This window comes from Homo sapiens, chromosome 21 (assembly GCF_000001405.40).
Source record: "Homo sapiens chromosome 21, GRCh38.p14 Primary Assembly".
Classification (NCBI taxonomy): domain Eukaryota; kingdom Metazoa; phylum Chordata; class Mammalia; order Primates; family Hominidae; genus Homo; species Homo sapiens.
Genome location: NC_000021.9, coordinates 43,997,632 through 44,018,315, shown reverse-complemented (window position 1 = coordinate 44,018,315; position 20,684 = coordinate 43,997,632). Strand labels below are relative to the sequence as shown.

The window sequence follows — 20,684 nt, the reverse complement described above, 5'->3', positions numbered from 1 at the left end:
CTCCCGCCTCGGCCTCCCAAGTAGCTGGGAGTACAAGCGCACACCACCACACCTGGCTAACTTTTTTATTTTCATTTTTGTAGAGATAGGAATTCCCTATGTTGCCCAAGCTGTATCATACTTGATTATTTCAGAGATTCATCAGCACTTAAGAAAAAAAGAAAAAAAAAAAGAAAATCAGACCTTTCCATTTCATTTGCATAAAGAACTTACTAGAAACTCTTCAGAAACACATCTTGTAGTAAAGTAGGTGTGTGAGCTGAAAAGAAAGGAAGCTTTTCAATTCTAAAGTATCAGTTCAAATCCACCCTGGAGTTGGGCTAATAACACTAACAGCACGGGTTCCCAAACTGTGTACCTAGGCTTCCCACACACTACGCAGAGAGGCACCAAGAGATATTTTAAATTTATGAGGGAAACAGCAATGCTTGTGGTGTAGGAACCCCACACAAGGTATTCACAGTGTCAACATCAGATCAGGGCTCCACTTCTTTCGATGACATCATTATCGTCGCAAAACAGGGTGGCTGCTCTGATAAAAAGCAAGTACCACCAAAAAGAAGAAGAAAAAAAAAAAACCAAAGGGAGAAGCAGCGTCCAATCCGACCTTCAGGTGAGAGGTGCCACAGAGCTCCCGCAGGGCCTGCCCCCCACGTAGCACACTGCTGCAATTAGGAAGAATGATGAAAATATTTTTTTCTTCCAACTTATATATATTTTTTTTCAAACAGCTCTTGTTAGGACATAATATTTAATAAATTACTGGAATCTAACTACTTAATAAATGGAATTTTTAAGTATTCCTTTTAGCCTAGAGATGCCATGAAAAAAATTACCGAGACACTAAAAGCATTGTGAACAGAGAAAATTGAGGAACCTCTCCTTAGTAACTTTTTTTGCACACTGACTATAATCCTGACACTCTCCTGAGTGCTTTACACACCCTTCTCAACCCGATGGGGTTGGTACTGTACCCGTTTCACAGCTAAGGGTCTGTGAAATTATGTAAGAACCGAGGTCATGCGTACAAGATGGAATGGTTTGTAACCATGCTCGGGTAGAAATGACATAGTAAGTTAAGCACATTTGTTGGTGCCTTTAGTCCCCGCCTCCAAATACATACTCTCTGCAACAACTGCGATTTCCTAAGAAGAATGTTTCTCCTACTTTTCAATCTTTGGTTCAACATTGCCTTGAGAATTCAATATGAAACAAAATCTGCATTTATAACATATTCACCCATTTAAACAGACATTTCAAGTGACTTTTCTGGTAGTAAAACTAGTGATGGTTAAATCGCAAGCACCACATTTTCAGGTTTAGTAGAAAATTTCAATGTGCAAATTTAAAAACTTTAACCTGGCTGGGCGCGGTGGCTCATGCCTATAATCCCAGCACTTTGGGAGGCTGAGGCGGGCAGATCACAAGGTCAGATCAAGACCATCCTGGCTGACACGGTGAAACCCCGTCTCTACTAAAAATACAAAAAATTAGCCAGGCGTGGTGGCGGGCGCCTGTAGTCCCAGCTACTCGGAAGGCTGAGGCAGGAGAATGGCGTGAACCCGGGAGGCGGAGCTTGCAGTTAGCCAAGATCACACCACTGCACTCCAGCCTGGGCAACAAAGCAAGACTCCGTCTCAAAAAATAAAAATTAAAATTAAAAAAATTTTAACCTACAGGGGAAAATCCCAAAGTCCAACCAGACACGAAGCTCTACATATCTGCTCATTTCTGTTGCCTGTTTTCCCCTTTAAAAGTTTCTAATATCAGACCTGGAACCCCAAATACAGAAACTCAGAAAAATGAAACAGGCAACAGATGTGACTAATGAGAACAGATCACCTAGAGGGAGGGTACTATTATTGTTCAGAGAAATTCAATTCCAAGCTAATAACAGGTATGTGCTATTGTAGGTATGAGGACAGTCAACAAAGAAAAGCCACAAATCACTGGAATTACATTAACTTTGTCACTAACTGAATGAGATGGCTGGAAAAGGAACGTGTCTTTCCTAATACACCCTTGGAACAGAAACCCAAGTCTATTTCAAAACAGAAAACTGACCCTGTGGCTGAAAAACAAATCTACGCTAAAATTTAAATTTAGACCAAATGGATCTGCTGGATTTGTTTCAGTTACGCCAGGCATTTTTCATGATTAATAAAATATACTACAAGTTTTCCTATTGCTATGATTCGGTCATTCATCACCCAACCCCGTCAAAGCATTAGTTCCACTAACTGTTCAGCTCCCATCCCTGCACATTTCACATACACTCTTCAGTATTTACAAGCTGTAACTAGTTCTGAGTTTAAGAAGGCCCCTACTGTGCTAGTCCCTCTTCACAGGAGCCCGTTAGGCAGGAGGTTTAATTATGGGCTAAAGTCTATTAAAACATTTAGGGCCAGGTGCGGGGGCTCACGCCTGTAATCCCAGCACTTTGGGAGGCCGAGGCGGGCAGGTCACCTGAGGTCAGGAGTTCTAGACCTGCCTGGCCAACAAGGTGAAACTGTGTCTCTATTAAAATACAAAAATTAGGTGGGCATGGTGGTGTACGCCTGTAATCCCAGCTACTTGGGAGGCTGAGGCAGGAGAATCGACTGAACCCGGGAGGCAGAAGTTGCAGTGAGCCGAGATCGCGCCACTGCACTCCAGCCTGGGCAAGAGAACAAGACTCTGTCTCAGACAGAAAAAAAAAAAAAAAATTTGGAGAGCTTCAAAATATTATTAAAATAATTCAGGCCAGGTGAGGTGGGTCATACCTGTAGTGCTGGCTACTTGGCAGGCTAAGGGAGGGGTCACTTGAGCCCAGCAAGGCTGCAGTCGGCTATGACCATGCCACTGCACTCTAGCCTAGGTGACAGAGCGAGACCCCATCTCTAAAAAAATAATAATAATAAAATGAAGTGAAATAATCAGCTAGGTTTTAAAGTAATAATCTATTCTAATTACCCTTAATCTTTGGGAACTTTTCATTCTTCTATCCCTACATATACACAGTTTTTAAATTCACCTGAACCAGTTACATTCTATATTCTTCCCAGAAAGGTCTAAGCAGAATGCATTTTCACTGAAGTAAAATATTATACATTCTATGGAAAAAAAATTCACAACATGCATAAACTCTACTTTCATTTTAAAATGAACAGATCTGAGGTAATACCATTTCAAGTAAGAATTTAAAAGATTTTTGAAAACAAAAATGTTGCCTACTAAGAGAACTATGTACATAATATTAAAAAGTTAAGGGTTAATTAGCCTCTGGGTGGATTTTTTTAAAGCAATTGTTCATACCACCTTCTCCTTTCAAAACATGTATAGCTGAAAGAGAGGAGCAAGATGAAGGCATAAAGTGAAACCAGGCCAAGTGCTTCCTAAAGCTTCAGTCCCAGATATACCACAACATAATTTCAAGTGGGAAGTATGAAGTCAGCTTTTTACCTTCACTTTTAAAGTGATCATTTTTCAAGTTAACTTTGACAGTCTACTGAAGCCCCCTTCTCTTCTGAGACTCCAATGAATGAAAGTTTGCACCTTCTAGGACAGTGTACCATCCATGCAGAGATTAACATTCACTATGTTGCTTGAGGCCAAGGGTGGGGGCTCAAGCCTGTAATCCCAGCACTTCGGGAGGCTGCGCAGGTGGACAACCCAAGGTCAGGAGTTCGAGACCAGCCTCACCAACATGGTGAAACTCTGTCTCTACTGAAAAAAAAAAAAAACAAAAACAAACAAACAAAAAATTAGCCGGGCATGGCAGCATGCGCCTGTAATCCCAGCTACTCGGGAGGCCGAGGAAGGAGAATCGCTTGAACCCGGGAGGCAGAGGTTGCAGTGAGCCAAGATCATGGCCGAGATCATGCCACTGCACTCCAGCCTGGGCGACAGAGAAAGACGCCGTCTCAAAAAAGAAGAAGAAGGAAAAAAAAAAATTCACTCTGCTGCTCAAAACACAGGAAAAAACCCACCACCAAGATGACAATCCAATAAATCTGTAGGAAAGAAAACCGCATCCTTCAGCTGTCCGTGATGCACGCATGTACAAAACTAAACATTAAATATCTCCAACACTGGCAACCAGATAACAAACTTTACCCCTTTAGTTATGGTTGAATCCAATAGAGCTTAGGAACTTTCTCCTCAGAAATGTATTTACATAATGCCTATAAATACATATTGCTATTGAAATGTAAGCAAGCTAGGAGGTAGAAGATAAAATTAGATGTGTGGATGTCCGTACAGGCAATGAATGTGTATCCAGCATTCACAACGTGCACAGCACTTTAGGAGAAAAATGTTCAACCTCTGGAAGACAGTAAAACTTAACATGAACTGCGCATGGCTTCATCTTCCCTGAGCACTGGGAAAGCCCCTGGGAAATTGCAGGGCCTGCAGACCAGCTCTACCCACATCTGCCCTCTGGGGCTGAAGGTGCAGAGTAGGAAAAGACTTTCAGCTGACAAATATTCTGGGGAGGAAAAAAGACAGCTACTGCTGAACTATGCAAGTCTCCAATTTTAAATGAGACACAGTCCACTTCCCTAAGAAAAGTCTATCATCTCGTCTAGGTCTCTGTAGAAAAAAAAGAGAGAGGAGGAGAGGAGAAGAGACAAAATAAAGCAAAAGGAAGGAAAGAAATAAGTCTATCACCTAAAGCTGAAGCAACAAAATTCAACCTTCAATATACAGTTTCTCAGGGATCTAACAGGAAGGAACACAGCAGGTGCACACCCGCTGACAGAGTGAGAGGGAAACAGGAGTTCTCACGACATACAGTCTACTGTGGCCTGGGCACCCAGATTTTGCAACAGAGAGTGCTTCCTTTCCAAGCACGAAAGACAACTAGAAAAAAACTAACTGCATACATGCATGAAAATACAGAATACTGTCAAAGGTCAAAAATCGTAACAGTCTGAAACACCTCTCTGCAAGTCACCTAAAAGCCAACCAACAAACATTTCAATACTTCCCATAAGCTCACTGTTCTTAACCGTATTTAACTCTGGAGAGTCACACTTCTAAAATTTAGGGAACATTTTTCCCGTAACAGAAAAACAGTTCCTTTGTGTATGCATTAAAGGAGGGGTGCGGGGAGGACACGACACCCAAGAGGCACCAGGTGTCCGTAGTGTAGACTCGAGCGGGAGGCTGTTCATGGGGAGCAAGCTCGCCTAAGCGCCCGAGCCTCGGCTTTCTCATCCGTAAAATGGTTTGAGTGCGCGGCGGGGAAGTGTGTAGGAGCGAAAGCAGTCCCGGCGGCTCTGCCTGACGCTTCACCCCGCAACAAACTGTTCCTACTTCGCCAACGCCTGCAACTCTGCGAGCCCCCAAGGACTTCCCCGTAGTCGGGGAAAGGGCGCCCGCGGGCAAAACCGCCCGGCGGAAGAGGCCGGGGCCCCCAGGTCCCGGGCGCGCGGCTCAACGGGGGCGGGACGGGGCGGTGGCAGCCCCCGCTCCTCGCCCTCGACGCCGGCGCGCGCCCAGTCCCGGGCAGAGTCCGCCGGGTTCCACCGGCTCCAACTGCAGCCGGCCCGAGGGCGCCCCCCAGGGGTCAGAGGTCGCCCGGCGGGAAGGTCAGAGGGCGTCCCCGAAAAGTCAGAGGGCCCCGCCTCAGCCGCAGCCCTGGTCACACCTCCAGGAAGCGGCCCAGCCCGGAGCGCGCCGGGGGCTGAAGGTCTGGGGGCGCCGGGTGCATAACGCCAGGGCCCGGGCCCGCCCAACGACCGCCGCGCCCTCCCCGCCTCCGGGCACTCACAGGTGACGATGGGCTTGTTCTCCATGGTGTAGATCACCGGCGGCAGCGGCTCCTCAGAGGCGTCCATGGGCGTCCGGCGTCACCGGCCCGGCCCCCCGCGCCCCATGGGCAGCCCCGAGGCCGCGCCGGGCCCAGCCGGAGCCCGAGCCTGAGCGGCGCCGCCCGCCCGGCCGCGCCAGGCAGCTCCGGAGCCGGTTGCGCCGCAGCTGCCGCCCGCTGCTGCCGGCCTCAGCCACTTCCGGCCTCGGCGCCGCCGCATGACCATTTCCGGGGCGCGCGAGGCTTCACGGGGCGGGTCTTCGCCGCGCTTCGCCTCCGACGGAAGTGCGCCCGGGCCGGCCGCGCGGGACCGGGAGGTGGGAAGTGGGAGGCGGAGCGGGGCTCCCGGGACACGTCCATCTTCCTCCCTCGGCAGTGGGCGCCCCGCTGGGCCCTGCGCCGGAGCTGAGGCCAGGACTCGGCAGGCGGGCCTCGCGCGCGGTGAGCGAGCCTGGACGCTCCCGGACCAGAGACGCCGGCCTCGCTGCCCTCGCGTTCCCCGCAGCTCGGGCGTCCCGCGGCGGGCCGCTGCTCCCCGGCCGGGCTCCTTATCGCGCTGGGGGCTCCCGCAGGCCCTCGCCGCTGAGTGTCCCCGGCGCGTGCCTTCCGCCTACCGCTGGGCTCTTCCCGTTTCCCTCACGCCGCAAATGTTTTTGTGGGGACCTGGCCCTCGGCATTTCGGAATGCCACAAAATAAACCTCACACTTAACTGCATATGGGCTTCTTGTGCACGTAAACGGGGGGGGCGGGGCGCGGGTGTTTCTTTTTCTTTTTTTCTTTGGAGCAGGGTCTTCCTCAGTTGGCTCAGGCTGGAGTGCAGTGGCGGGACACGGCTCACTGCAGCCTCCACCTTCCAGGCTCAAGCGATCCTCCCGCCTTGTTTCCCCCCGCCCCACCCCCTCCGCCAGTAACTGGGACCACGGGGGCAGCCACCACGCCCAGCTAATTTTTTTCTTTTCTTTTCTTTTGTCGGGATCTCACTATGTTTTCCAGGCTGGTTTCAAACTCCTGGGCTCAAGTGATCCTCCAGCCTTGGCCTCCCAAAGTGTTGAGATTACAGGTGTGAGCCATCACTCCCAGCCATAAAATGACAAAAACTGTCAACCAAAAATAATCAAAAGGGTCAGAATCTAGAGTTTAGTCAAATGCGAAGCTTGAGGCGCCCAGGAAACATTATAAAGAATGGAAGTCAGTGTTCTCAAACGTAGAAATTTGGGGTCGTTTCTATAGCCAGCGTCTCGGGAAGCCTAACCGAATTTCAGCGTCTTTTCTGTATAAGGCCTAATGCATAGTTACAACAGTCTGTTTAGTCGAGGTGGTCTTTTTCTTTGGGGACCCACTGAAGATGAAACAGTCCTGGGGTCTCTGTGCTGTCTGGTCTAAGTCAGGTACAGGACAATGGAGACAGCTAATCTGTAACAAAAATCACCAAATGGGAAGGGGGAGACCTGGTCTTTCTTAGTCATTAACAGCAGCAGTCCCCAACCTTTTTGGCACCAGGGACCAGTTTCATAGAATGCAGTTTTTCCACAGACAAAGTTGGGGTGGTTTCAGGACGATTCAAACACATTTCATTTATTGTGCACTTTATTATTTTTATGTTGTAATATGTAATAAAATACAACTTCCCATAATGTGGAATCAGTGGGAGCCCTGAGCTTGTTTTCCTGCAACTGGACGGTCACATCTAGGGATGATGGAAGCCAGGGACACATCATTAGGGATGAGATTCTCATAAGGAGCACGCAACCTAGACCCCTCCAATGTGCAGTTCACAACAGGGTTCACCCTCCTAGGAGAATCCAGCGCTGCTGCTGACCTGACAGGAGGCGGAGCTCAGGCGGTAATGCCAGCGATGGGGAGCAGCTGTAAATACAGATGAAGCTTTGCTCCCTGGCCTGAAGCTCACCTCCTGCTGTGTGGCCTGACCGGTATGTGTCTGTGGCCCTGGCGGTCGGGGAGCCCTGATTTACAGAGCAGCCACAATGAGGAAGACACTTGTGCTCAAGAACAAGGAGGAAGAGCATTAAACTGTAATCGAAGAAGCAGAATTGCAAACTTGCTACTGACTCAGTCTCCAGGGCTTAACTTCACCCTTGGCATCATAAGTTTAGAGAGTCCTGAAGTTTTTTTTAACAAAATGTATATATGAGATAGTTTGGGTGTGAACACAGCTGCTAAATGTGTGAACATAGTGTAGTGTGGTGCACTGTAATGGTGTGAGAGGCAAGAGACCAGACTTCTGGGCAGCTAAAGCAGCAGGCCGGCAAGGCAGGGCACTGGAGGGGAAGAAGCTTAGCAAGAGTGGGGAGCCGAAGTCGATGTAGGGTTCCCTGAAAGTCCTTGGCCTAGGCTGGACTACACGTGTGGGACGACTCTATGGGTTTACCAGGAAGCGGCTGTTACAGAGTTGAGGATGGCACAAAGACTAGAGGTCCAGTAGTGCTACAGGAAAGGACTTTCCGTTTTGTTTTCTTTTCAGACAGTCTTGTTCTGTCACCTAGGCTGGGGTGCAGTGGTTTGATCGTTATCTCAGTGCAGCCTAGAACTTCTGGGCTCAAGTGATCCTCCCACCTCAGCCTCCCAAGTAGTTGGGACCACAGGTGAGTGCCACCACGCCCGGCTAATTTTTTCTTTTTTTGTAGAGAGAGGGTCCCACTCTGTTGCCCAGGCTGGTCTTGAACTCCTGGCCTCAAGCAGTCCTCCTGCCTAATCCTCCCAAAGTGCTGGGATGACGAGTACGAGCCACCGTGCCCAGTCAAGACCTTTTTAATGCCATTAACACTGAGGACATTGAGCTGAGACACTAGATTGAGAATCACATTCCCAGGGGTCAGCAAACGACCTATAAAGGGCCCAGATAAGTATTTTAGGTTGTGTGGGCCACATGCAGTTTTTGTTTCATATTTTTGCTTGTTTTTTTTTTTTTTTTAAACAACTCTTTAAAAATATAAAAGCCATTCCTGGCTTTAAGTGCTGTACAAAAACAGGCCATCAACACATGTGGCTTGTGAGCCAGAGGTTGCCAGTCCCTCCCCTAGAATAAGGACTACTCCAGGCCCGCCTTAACAACGTCTAAAGCAAAACCCTGACCCGATCCACAAGACGGTCAGAGTTTGGAGGTTAAGTCCTGCCAAGTAAGAGGGGCCTGGGAGACACCTGGGACATTGCTCAGTAAACAGAGCCTAAAGCTAAGCCTACACAGCCCAGCATGGTACGTCCAGTAATGGAACTACAAACTAGAACGAAAGTCAGGATTTTTCAGTGGAAGAGCACCCTGAGTCTCCCTCATTTGTTATTTATCAGTGTTGAATATACACTAAAAAAACAAAAATCACTAAACATACAAAGAAAGAGGAAAACGTAAGCCATAGTTAAGAAAAAAAAAAAGCAGTTAACAGAAACCAATCCCCCTACAATGAACCAGATTCTGTATTTACAAAGATTCTAAAGCAGCTCTACATATGTCCAAAGGAGGCTGGGCACGGTGGCTCACACCTGTAATCCCAGAAATTTGGGAGGCCGAGGTGGGCAGATCACTTGAGCCCAGGAGTTTGAGATCAGCCTGGCCAACATGGTGAAACCCCATCTCTACTAAAAACACAAAAATTAGCTGGGTGTGGTGGCGCACGCCTGTAGCCCCAGCTACTCGGAAAGCTGAAGCAGGAGAATCGCTTGAATCCGGGAGGTGGAGGTTACAGTGAGCCAAGATAGTGCCACTGCACTCCAGCCTGGGTGACAGAGCAAGACTCCATCTCAAAATAAATAAAAATAATATGTCCAAAGGATTAAATGAAAATATTGTCTTAATGAGTAAAGAATCAGAAATTCACAGCAGAATAACAAAGTATCTAAAAGAATCAAAAGAAAAGTCTAGAACTGAAAAGTACAATAACAGAAATGAAAATTTCACTGAATTGGATTAACAGATTGGAGAAAACAGGAGTTTGGGATCTTGAAGGCAGATGGATAGAAATTATTTAATCTGAAGAAGAGAAAAAAGTTGAAGAAAAGTGGAGAGAACCTCAGAGACCTATGGGACAGTATGAAATGGCCAAAAGCATGTGTGATCGGAGCTCCAGAAGGAGAGTATGAGTCTAGGAAGGAAACATTTTTGCAAAATGATGGCTCCAAATCCAAACACGTGGTGAAAAATACTGATTTACAGATCAAGAAATTCAGCAAAACCTGAAGAGAACACATACAAAGAAAATTACATGCAGGCATATCATACTCAAACTGGTGAAATAGATCAAGAGAAAAAAAATGTTTTGGTGGGGGGACAGGGTCTTGCTCTGTCGCCCAGGCTGGCGTGCAGGGGCACAGTCACGGCTCACTGTAGCCTCAGTCTTCTGGCTTCAAGCCATCCTCCCACTACAGCCTCCCAAGTAGCTGGGACCACAGGCACGTACCACCATGCCAGCTAATTTTTTAATTTTTTGTAGAGACGGCAGGGGGTCTTCCCCAGGCTGGCCTTGAACTCCTGACCTTAGGTGATCTGCCCACCTTGGCCTCCCAAAGTGCTGGGTTACAGGCATAAGCCACTGCACCCGGCCCTTCTCATAATTTCTTTAAGAGACCACTGACTGTTTAAAACAAACAATAGCTTGTGATACTTCTACAGTGTGTGTAGAAGTAAAAGGTAAGGACAGTGTGAAGGATGGATGGTGAGAGGTAACCCACTGATAAGCTCCTCACACTGTGAAGTGTGGAACTCCAGGTGTGAGGTGCAAGATGCAAAGGGTTATGTATGAAGAGGGAAGACTGAAGTGATACAATATTGACCCTACATTAAATTTGATATGTGAGGCATACGTAGTCTGTGCCCAGGAGAAAAAGCACTAGGGAAAAAATGAACAAAAGGGGTTTGGCTAAGAAGCCAATAAAGAAAAGAGAAATAATAGAAAATATCTGACTAATCCAAAAGAAGTCAGGGAAAGAACAACAGGAGAAAGACAGAAAGGACCAGTTATGTCAGGAAAAGACACTCAGCGCTCATTAGACATCAGGGAAATGCAAGTTAAAATGAAAATGAGATGCCACTTCACATGTACTCAAATCGATAAAATTTAAATTTATAATTAAAAACCCTGACGAGGCCAGGCACGGTGGCTCATGCCTGTAATCCCAGTGCTTTGGGAGGCTGAGGTGGGCCTCAGGAGTCAGGAGTCCGAGACCAGCCTGGCCAACATGGTAAAACCCCGTCTCTACTAAAAATACAAAAAATTAGCCAGGCGTGGTGGCGTGCACCTGTAATCCCAGCTACTTGGGAGGCTGAAGCAGGAGAATCGCTTGAACCCGGGAGGCGGAGGTTGCAGTGAGCCGAGATTGCACCACTGCGCTCCAGCCTGGGGAACAGAGCTAGACTCTGTCTCAAAAAACAAAAAATAAGTAAATAAAAAATAAAAACCCGACAATACCAAGTGTAGACTCCAAGCCGAGGAATATCTATGTCTTTGTACTGTTCTCACAGAGAACTGAGTCCAGCTGCTCTGAGAAGACAGACACTAGCCATTCCCCTTCCCGAAGACGTGGACACAGCGTTGTGCGGCTGGATGGGCTCCCACGTTAGGGAGTGTTCTTTCTGGAGGAAGGGAGGCAAAGGCAGAATCCCCTCCTCCAATCCCACCGGCTCTGGTCCAGGCAGCCTTTGGTGCGTGGGCAGTAAGTGGACTGCAAGCCTATTTTCCCTCTGAGCAGACCTATAAGAGATTTTTTTTTTCCACTTGGGAATTTAGAAAATGCTTGAATTCAGCACAAACACTGGTTTGGCACTTTCTTTTAATGAATCATGGTGAAATGATGCTAGTCCTGTCAATCGATGTTCATTCTTTTTTTTTTTTTTTTAGTACCTTTTTTCATGAGGCAGCATTTGGGGTGTTTTTTATTTTGTTTTATTGTTTTTGAAAAGTTGCTGGAACTTGAACTCAAATGGTTTTTCCTGGTAACCCATTACATCGTCTCCAGGCTGCAAAGAGCCTGTTAAATTATGTATTGGGACATTGTGTCTGCCTTATCTAACCAGAGGGACTGCTCGGGCCCTCTGCACAGAGGGCAAAAGGAAGGGCCAGTCAGTGAATGTTCACAGCAAGCTGCCCAGAACCGGACACAATCCAGACATCCCTCAGCCTCTGAATCATCAAACAGTGTGGCCCATCCACACCCAGAATACTACTCAGCAGCAGAAAGGAACAAACCATCCCCACAAAGGCCTGGAGGAACTTCCAGAGAATAATGCTGAGTAAAAACCTTCCAGGTCAGGTGCGGGGGCTGTGCCTGGAATCCCAGCACTGTGGGAGGCTCAGGCAGGAGGATCGTTTGAACTCGGGAGTTCAAGAACAGCCTGAGCAACATAGGGAGACCCTCGTCCCTACAAAAAATACAAAACCTAGCTGGGCCTGGTGGCATGTGCCTGTAGTCCCAACTACTTGGGAGGCTGAGGTGGGAGGATTGTTTGAGCCAGGTCGGCCGAGGTTGCAGTGAGCTGTGATTGGGCCACTGCACTCCAGCCTGGGCAACAGAGAGAGACCTTGTCTCAGAAACAAAACACAAAGCCCCTTCAGCCCCAAAAGGTGACACGCCGTGCAGTTGCTTTTATCCAACATCTTGAAATAACAAAATTATAGAAATGGAGAACAGACAAGTGTTTGCCAGGGGCCACAGGGGTGTGGGGTAAGGAGGGAGGAGGGTGTGGCTAGAAGAGGGCAACAGAGTGGCTCCTGCGGAAACAGAATGTTCTGGATCTGGACTGTGTCCACGTCAATACCTGGCTGTGACACTGTGATCCAATGTTACGAAACGTCACCACTGGGGAAACTCAGGAAAGGTGCACAAGACCTCCCTGGATTACTTCTTATACCACACGTCAACCCATTGTCATCTCAAAATTGTTCTTTTTTGAGACGCCGTCTCACTCTGCTGTCCAGGCTGGAGTGCAGTAGCATGATCTCGGCTCACTGCAACCTCCGCCTCCTGGGTTCAAGCGATTCTCCTGCCTCACCCTCCTGAGTAGCTGGGATTACAGGCACCCACCACCATGCCCAGATAATTTTTTGTATTTTTAGTAGAGATGGGGTTTCACCATGTTGGCCAGGCTAGTCTTGAACTCCTGACCTCAGGTGATCTGCCCACCTCAGCCTCCCAAAGTGCAGAGATTACAGGCACGAGCCACCGCGCCCAGCCTCACATTTTTAATAGAAAGCCAGGTAACTTTAAAGTAATCACGTGAGTTTTCACACTGTGTGTGGCTTTCAGTGTTTCACCGCGCGCTTCCTCCTCTTGGGCTCACCAGGCGTTCTAGAAGCCGCTCCGGGTGCAGGGAAAGCCAGTCCTGAGTCCGGTGCAGTTTATGGTTTTTGGTTTTTTTTGAGACGGGATCTCACTGTTGCCCAGGCTGAACTATGGTGGTGTGATCTATGCTCACTGCAACCTCCGCTTCCTGGGTTCAAGAGATTCTCCTACCTCATCCTCCTGAGTAGCTGGGATTACAGGCACAGCCACCACACTCAGCTAATTTTTGTATTTTTTTGTAGAGATGGGGTCTCACCATGTTGCCCAGGCTGGTCTTGAACTCTGAGCTCAAGCAGTCCTCCCACCTCAGCCCAAAGTGCTGGAATGACAGGTGTGAGCCCAACCTTGGTGCAGATATTTTTTGATGCGCATTTTCATCCGTCCATTTAACCAATCCCTCCATAAATAATATCCCAGGTGAGCAAATAGTCCAAAAAAGGGAAGATACTGCCTCCTGGGGCTCGGTGGGAGATTCTCTAAGGTGTCACCTTTGTTTGTTTGTTTTTGAGATGGAGTCTCTGTCGCCCAGGCTGGAGTGCAGTGGCATGATCTCTGCTCACTGCAACCTCCGCCTCCCGGGTTCAAGTGATTCTCCTGCCTCAGCCTCCCAAGTAGTTGGGATTACAGGCATGCACCGCCACACCCAGCTAATTTTTGTATTTTCAGCAGATGGAGTCCCCATGTTGGCCAGGCTGATCTCGAACTCCTGGCCTGAAGTGATCTGCCTGCCTCGGCCTTTCAAAGTGCTGGGATTACAGGCGTGAGCCACTGCGCCTGGCCAGGTGTTGGTTTTTTAAAAAGCAGTTCCAACCTTTCGTCCTTTGAGCCAGCAATTCCACTTCTAGAGCTCTTTGAGGAAGCAAAATCTCTCCCAAACCTTTATGGGTAAAAACACATGTTGCAGCATTGCTTTGCGGGAGCAAACAACTGGAAACAACCTGCACGTCAACAACTGTTAGCTGGGACCAGAGGCGCAGCCTGTGTCACATGAACCATGCTTTGTCCATTTGATGAACTATTGTGTCACTGTCAAAATGGTGTTTAGAACAGGCTTGTGAATGTTTGTGGAATTACTTGTTGAGCACGATGTTTGCTACGTGGGTGACGGGTGCACTAGATGCCAGAGCTCACCAGTATACAATATATCCACATAACAGAGCTGCACTTGGACCCTCTCCATCTATAAACACTTTTTAGAGGGGCTTATGATAATCTGGGAAATACTTAAAACGTCAGTTTATAAAAATCTTGAAAGTGAAGGCCAGGCACGGTGGCTCACACCTGTAGTCCCAGCACTTTGGGAGTCCAAGGTGGGAGAATCACTTGAGCCCAGGAGTTTGAGACCAGCCTGGGCCACATAGCAAGACCCTGTCTCTACAAAAAATACAAAAATTAGCCGGGTGTGGTGGCTGCATCTGTGTTCCCAGCTACTCGGGAGGCTGAGGTGGGAGGATCCTGAGCCTGGGAGGTGGAGGCTGCAGTGAGCCTAGACTGCACTACTGAACTCCAGCCTGGGCAACAGAGCAAGACCCTGTCTCAAAAAAAGAAAAGTGATGTGATATAATAACAACTACATAAAAGCAAAAAACTCCACCCCACTATCATTACAAAAGAGATTGGAAGGAAATTCATCAAAACAGTATCAGTGACTATGATTGGGTCACAGACTCTGCAGTTTCTTCCCCCTTTTACCCACATATCTGCATTTTCCATCTTTTTTTTTTTTTTTTGAGACACAGTTGCTCTGTCACTCACTCTGGAGTGTGGTGGTACATTCATAGCTCACTGCAGCCTCCATCTCCTTGGTTCAAGTGATCCTCCCACCTTGGCCTCCCAAAGTGCTGGGATAACAGGCGCATGCCACCACACCCAGCCCACGCAGTCCATAGGGAGCTTCCCTGTTTGTAAAAAGTGGAGCCACACTGTGGTTAAGCAGCAGATCCTGGAGCAGGGCCACATGGATTCTCAATTACTCTTCATGTCTCCTGCATCTGTTGTCTCATCTGAAAACAGGGATTATGATAGAATTTCCCCCCTTTAAAACATGTATTCTATGCAGTCAACACACCTGGATTTATTTATTTTTTTATGTTATATATATATTTTTTTTTTTGAGACAGAGTCTGGCTCTGTTGCCCAGGCTGGAGTGCAGTGGTGCAATCTCAGCTCACTGCAACCTCCGCCTCCCAGGTTCAAGCAATTCCCCTGCCTCAGCCTCCCGAGGAGCTGGGATTACAGGCACACGCCATCACGCCCAGCTAATTTTTGTATTTTTAGTAGAGACGGGGTTTCACCATGTTGCCCGGGCTGATCTCGAACTCCTGATCTCAGGTGATCCACCTGCCTGGGCCTCCCAAAATGCTGAGATTATAGGCGTGAGCCACCGATGCCTGGCCTTGAATTATTTTAATGCCTACAAAAAGCCTGGGAGGAGGTATCCTAGCTCCATGTCGCAGAGGAGAGACAGACAGAGGCCCAGGGCTCGCCCCATGGCAGCTCAGAGATCAGGCCCACTGGGGCTTGGCCGCGCCCGGAACACAGTTGCCAGGACTGCAGCCATCACCCCATTTCGTACAAGAGGCAATGGCAGGTCCCCTGGCACAGCAAGGGTATGCCCGGCCTTTAGCCTGGCGCCTCTCCTCTTGCTGAGTCTCAATCTTGTGCATGGCACACTGTCAACTGCTGCTGTCACTGTGTGGTGTCTTCAGAAAGAACCTGCTCCCACCTGAGCTTGTGCAGAAACAATACGCTCTTCCCAGGTTTTAGGCTGTATAGTGTGATGTAAATAAGTAGCGCTGATGGAATCAAGCCTGGCGCTGTGGACGGCTGCTCCAAACACTATGCCCCATGCTATTTTTTTTTTTTTTTTTTTTTGAGACGGAGTCTCACTCTGTCGCCTAGGCTGGAGTGCAATGGCGCAATCTCGGCTCACTGCAAGCTCCACCTCTCCCGGGTTCACGCCATTCTCCTGCCTCAGCCTCCCGAGTAGCTGGGACTACAGGTGCCCGCCACCACGCCCGGCTAATTTTTTTTATTTTTATTTTTTTTAGTAGAGACGGGGTTTCACCGTGTTAGCCAGGATGGTCTCAATCTCCTGACCTCGTGATCTGCCCGCCTCAGCCTCCCAAAGTGCTGGGATTACAGGCGTGAGCCACCGTGCCTGGCCCGTGCTCCTATTTTGAACTCAGTTGGGTCTTTCTTGGCTTCCTGACAGTCTGGATTCTCGTGCTCCCTCTCCAAGCAGAGGTCACTCCCCAAGAGGCCTGTCTGTGCCTTGGCCTCATGTCCCCCGCTTGTGTCCCTGCGCGGTGGGGTTCGGGACTGGGGCAGGAGCAGCCACCCTGCTGGAGGCCCTCATCTGTGCCCCACCTTTTCCTTGCTGTTCTCAGGGACCAGGGAGCCGCCCACTGCCCAGATGGCAGAAGCCGGCTGTGGCCTGGCTCAGACATAGGAGCAGCACCAATGCCTTTCACGCCAACCCCTGGCACACCTAACAGCGGGTGATATAACATCCCCCTTGCACAGAAGAAGGTGGCAAGAGGGAAGAGCTGGTTGAGGGCTGAGCTGCCAGTAAGCCAACCTCCAAAACATCACTCGAATAGCCTGGAGGGTGGTGTCAGCTAGCCCAGTTTCTACATCTCTTCCTACGTAAATGGTACAATGCGAAAACTGTCCAGTCACGGTGGCCTGAGTGGTGACAAGAGAACAGTCCTCCCTGGTGCACTCAGACCCTAACAGACGCATTGGGTGCCCCAGGCCACATGCCTTCAGCTCACTCTGATTTCAGGTGCAGCTGGGTGGCACCAGACAGTTAGGGTCCCTCCTCTGAGACTAGTTGGGGGCCCCACTTTTCTGCCGCAGGCCTAGAACCTTCTCCATGGGCTCAGAAACAGGCTCAGCCAGGAAGCGTTGGAAAATGGACACCAGCAGGCCCTGTCTCCACGATGGCCGCCCTGGGGTAGGTGGGTGGTCATGCAAACCTCCCTCTGCTCAGAGGTACTTTGTTCACAGCCCTGGCCAGGTCGAACTATGATGGGAACTAGCTCAGTGACAGTCCCTGTCTTACCCCCATCCTCTACACCCCACCATCCCCACTCCCTTCCCCCTCTCTCTGGGCCCACCTCAAATAAACCACCTGTACCCCAGTCCATGCACACTCTGCCTCGAAGGCAGATGGCTCTGTGATGGACGCATCTCTCCTGCTCCCCTGTCGTCCAGCCCCCAGCCCTGAGAGGGGCCCGATGGCTGCCGGAATTCTAGGAGAGATGCACCCACGGCCTGGTACTGAAATCAAGAGTTCATCTCATTACCTAAACGTTACATGTTTAATACACTGGCTGGGAACTTGGCTGACTCAGAAAATTGCAAGTAATAAGTGTTCTGTTTTGAACATGAAGAGTACTTAATTGTTATTAATATAAAACCAGCTCCTCCCTGCATCCTTTAAATAAATGTGGAAACAAGTCTGAGGACGAGGGTCTGCAGGGGGCCTTGTGGCCTCAGCCCAGCTTTTTTGGGAACCAAAGGCCTCCTCCAGGCAGTCTTCCAACTGTCCCTGGCAGGATGGGCTGTGAGCTGCAGACCTAAGGCGGCTGACTGCTGTGGGGTGAGGCTGCGTGGTGTCCGTGGGAGGCTTGCCAAGGCCCATCTGTCCCGTCCTGGCCCAGGCTGGTGCAGGGACAGCAGTGGGTTTTCTGATCAAAGGGACTTGCTTTTTTCCACGTGGCTCTTGCCACTGCCTGGCCCCAAGGGAGGCTCCCCCTGGCCCAGCTCCCACCTCTGTCCCAGGCTTAGTCCCGGCCCCACTCCCCTCCTCCCTTTGCAGAGATCACTACAGAGGTTTGCACAGACACATTCAACCAGAGACAGTGGCGGGGGGCAATCCCCAGAATGCAGGGGAAAGGAAGAGGTGCTGACCTCCTGGCAACTTCAGCCAGAGCATCTTGGCCCTTTTCAGGCATGGGAGAAAGAGGCAGGTCTTTATTTAAGATGCATTCTCATGTCAGGAGAGGGAGAGGCCAACACCTGCTAGTGATAGGAGGGTTTTCCCTCTCTTAGTCCAACCCAGCATGAGCAGAAATAGTAAACCCTTCTGAGACACCAACAGCATCAGCAATAAGGTGGATGAGGGACACGTTCCTGACCCAGCAATGGGGGTGCGGCACCACATGGCAGTGGAACATTTCTAAACACTGACATACACTAAGCTGCCAAGGAAGCTTCCAGAGAGCCACCCAGCCAAGCATGTCCATTTTTTGAAAAGAAAGAATAAGGCCAGGTGCAGTGTTCACGCCTGTAGTCTCAGCACTTCGGGAGGCTGAGACAGGAGGATCATTTGGGGCCAGGAGTTTGAGACCAGCCTGGGCAACATAGAGAGACCCCCATGTCTACCAAAAAATAAGTTAGCCAGGTGTGGTGGTACACATCTGTAATCCCAGCCACTGGGGAGGCTGAGATGGGAGGATTGCTTGAGCCCAACAAGTTGAGGCTGCAGTGAGCAAAGGTTGACCACTGCACTTCAGCCTGGGCAACAGAATGAGACCCTGTCTCAGAAAAAAAAAAAAAAGGAATTACTGGAAACATACACTAATACAAATATGTATCTACAAGCAGGGGTAAGACTTACGATACTTGCTGGCCAATATAGCACAGGAATTGACCAATTGAAACAGACTGACAGCCACTCACAGTAGGTATCATGGGCACCGCACCAGCCAAGCTCCAGCCTGTGGAGGACACAGGCAGACAGGGCTGGGGAGACGGAGGCCTCTCCTTTGCACTGGGCTGGATAACTGCAATGTCTGAACGATGGGAGTGTATTCACTACTCCGAAAAAGGACAGTGTCTCCAATCAGTGGTGCCAGGAAACCTGGATATCCACATGCAGAATGAAATTGGACGCTTATCTCATACCATGTACAAAATTCAACTCAAAATGGATTAAAGACTTAACACAAAACCCGAACATGTGAAGCCACTAGAAGAAAACGTAGGGAAAGGCTCCATGACAATGATCTGGGCAATCATTTGTTTGGATATGACCCAGAAGCATAGGAAACAAAAGCAAAAATAGACAAATGGGATTACATCAAACTAAAAGGCTTCTGCACAGCGAAGGAAACAATCGACAGAGTGAGGAGAAAGCCTACAAAATAGGAGAAAGTATTTGCAAACCATGCATCCGATAAAGAGTTAATATCCAAAATATATAAGGGGCCGGGTGCAGTGGCTCACGCCTATAATCCCAGCACTTTGGGAGGCCGAGGCAGGCGGATCACCTGAGGTCAGGAGTTCAAGACCAGCCTGGCCAACATAGCGAAACCCTGTCTCTACCAAAAATACAAAAAAATTAGCCTGGCTTGGTGGCAGGCGCCTGTAGTCCCAGCTACTTGGGAGGCTAAGGCAGGAGAATCACTTGAACCCAGGAGGTGGAGATTGCAGTGAGTCGAGATGGCATTGCTGCTCTCCAGCCTGGGTGACACAGTGAGGCTCTGTCTCAAAAAAATATATATATATATATAATACATATATATTTATTTATATGGAACTAAAAGAACAACAAGAAACAACCCAATCTTAAAAATGGGCAAAAGGAATAGCCATTTCTCAAAAGAAGACATGCAGCTGACCAACAGGCATATAAAAAAACACTCATCACTAAGCATGACTAATTATTTGCATTGCAGGAAAATTCAAATTAAAACCACAGAGCATAATGTCATCAGGGTGGCTGACTAGAGACCCCTGGCACTTGTCCTCCACAAGAAAGGACCAAGACAATGAATAAATAGCTAAGATTTGACTGGAGTGTCAGAGGGAGAATGTGAAGCGCAGCAGGGAGAAAAGACACACCTTTGGTGATTGGAAGCCCTTCAAATTGGAGGGCAGTGTCGAGGCACCTGGCCCTGCAGCTCCATCTCCTCCACCTGGATTGAATCTGCTGGGAGTCAAGAGGGACACCCCCTTGCGGGGCAAAGGTAAGTAGAAGATCCTCATCAGCCCCCATTGCCACCACCAACACCTACAGTCCTTACGACAGGAGAATCCCACAGTCCTTGCAAGCCCTGAGCCCAGCTTGGAGAGCTGCCAGGAATTCACACAGCAGCACTGCCCTGGTCTAGGAGCACAAGGTGTGCACTTCCGATTATTTTCTGATATAGAAAATAATCAGAAAACATCAACAACATGATAGGAGTAAATCCTTACCTATCAGTAATAACCCTAAATGTAAATGGATTAAATTCCCCCATTTAAATGATATAGACTGGCTGAATGGATTTATTTATTTATTCACTCATTCAAGATAGGATCTCACTCTTTCACCCAGGCTGGAGTGCAATGGCATAATCATGGCTCACTGCACCCTCAACCTCCCAGGCCCAAGTGATGCTCCCTTATCAGCCTCACAACTAGCTGTGATCACAGGCATGCACCACCACACCTAGCTAATTTCTTAAATTATTTTGTAGAGATGGGGTCTCCCTATGTTGTCCAGGCTGGTCTTGAACTCCTGAGCTCAAGCAATCATCCCCCCTCAGCCCCCCAAAATGCTGGAATTACAGGCATGAACCACTGCACCCGGCATGAATGGATTTTTAA

At 48.8% G+C, this 20,684-nt stretch overlaps 1 protein-coding gene across 16 annotated transcripts in view, besides 4 other annotated features; it reads right to left on the bottom strand.

Annotated features, from left to right (window-relative positions):
- The window catches only part of TRAPPC10 (trafficking protein particle complex subunit 10), a 94,244-nt gene extending 88,237 nt beyond the window's left edge, over positions 1-6,007 (bottom strand). For all 16 annotated transcript variants that reach the window (XM_011529714.3, XM_011529715.3, NM_003274.5 and 13 more), the window contains exon 1: positions 5,756-6,007. In XM_011529714.3, the coding sequence (XP_011528016.1) occupies positions 5,756-5,822 (67 nt within the window). In that variant the 5' untranslated portion in view covers positions 5,823-6,007. The remainder of the gene's footprint in view (positions 1-5,755) is intronic.
- Positions 4,503-4,552: an enhancer, noted in NCBI's record as "active region_18561". NCBI's record gives its function as "activates an Ori minimal core promoter by ATAC-STARR-seq in GM12878 lymphoblastoid cells {active_cell/tissue: GM12878}" and the evidence as "EXISTENCE:reporter gene assay evidence [ECO:0000049][PMID:35858748]".
- Positions 4,573-4,632: an enhancer, noted in NCBI's record as "active region_18560". NCBI's record gives its function as "activates an Ori minimal core promoter by ATAC-STARR-seq in GM12878 lymphoblastoid cells {active_cell/tissue: GM12878}" and the evidence as "EXISTENCE:reporter gene assay evidence [ECO:0000049][PMID:35858748]".
- Positions 5,183-5,852: a silencer, noted in NCBI's record as "silent region_13377". NCBI's record gives its function as "represses an Ori minimal core promoter by ATAC-STARR-seq in GM12878 lymphoblastoid cells {active_cell/tissue: GM12878}" and the evidence as "EXISTENCE:reporter gene assay evidence [ECO:0000049][PMID:35858748]".
- Positions 6,003-6,382: a silencer, noted in NCBI's record as "silent region_13376". NCBI's record gives its function as "represses an Ori minimal core promoter by ATAC-STARR-seq in GM12878 lymphoblastoid cells {active_cell/tissue: GM12878}" and the evidence as "EXISTENCE:reporter gene assay evidence [ECO:0000049][PMID:35858748]".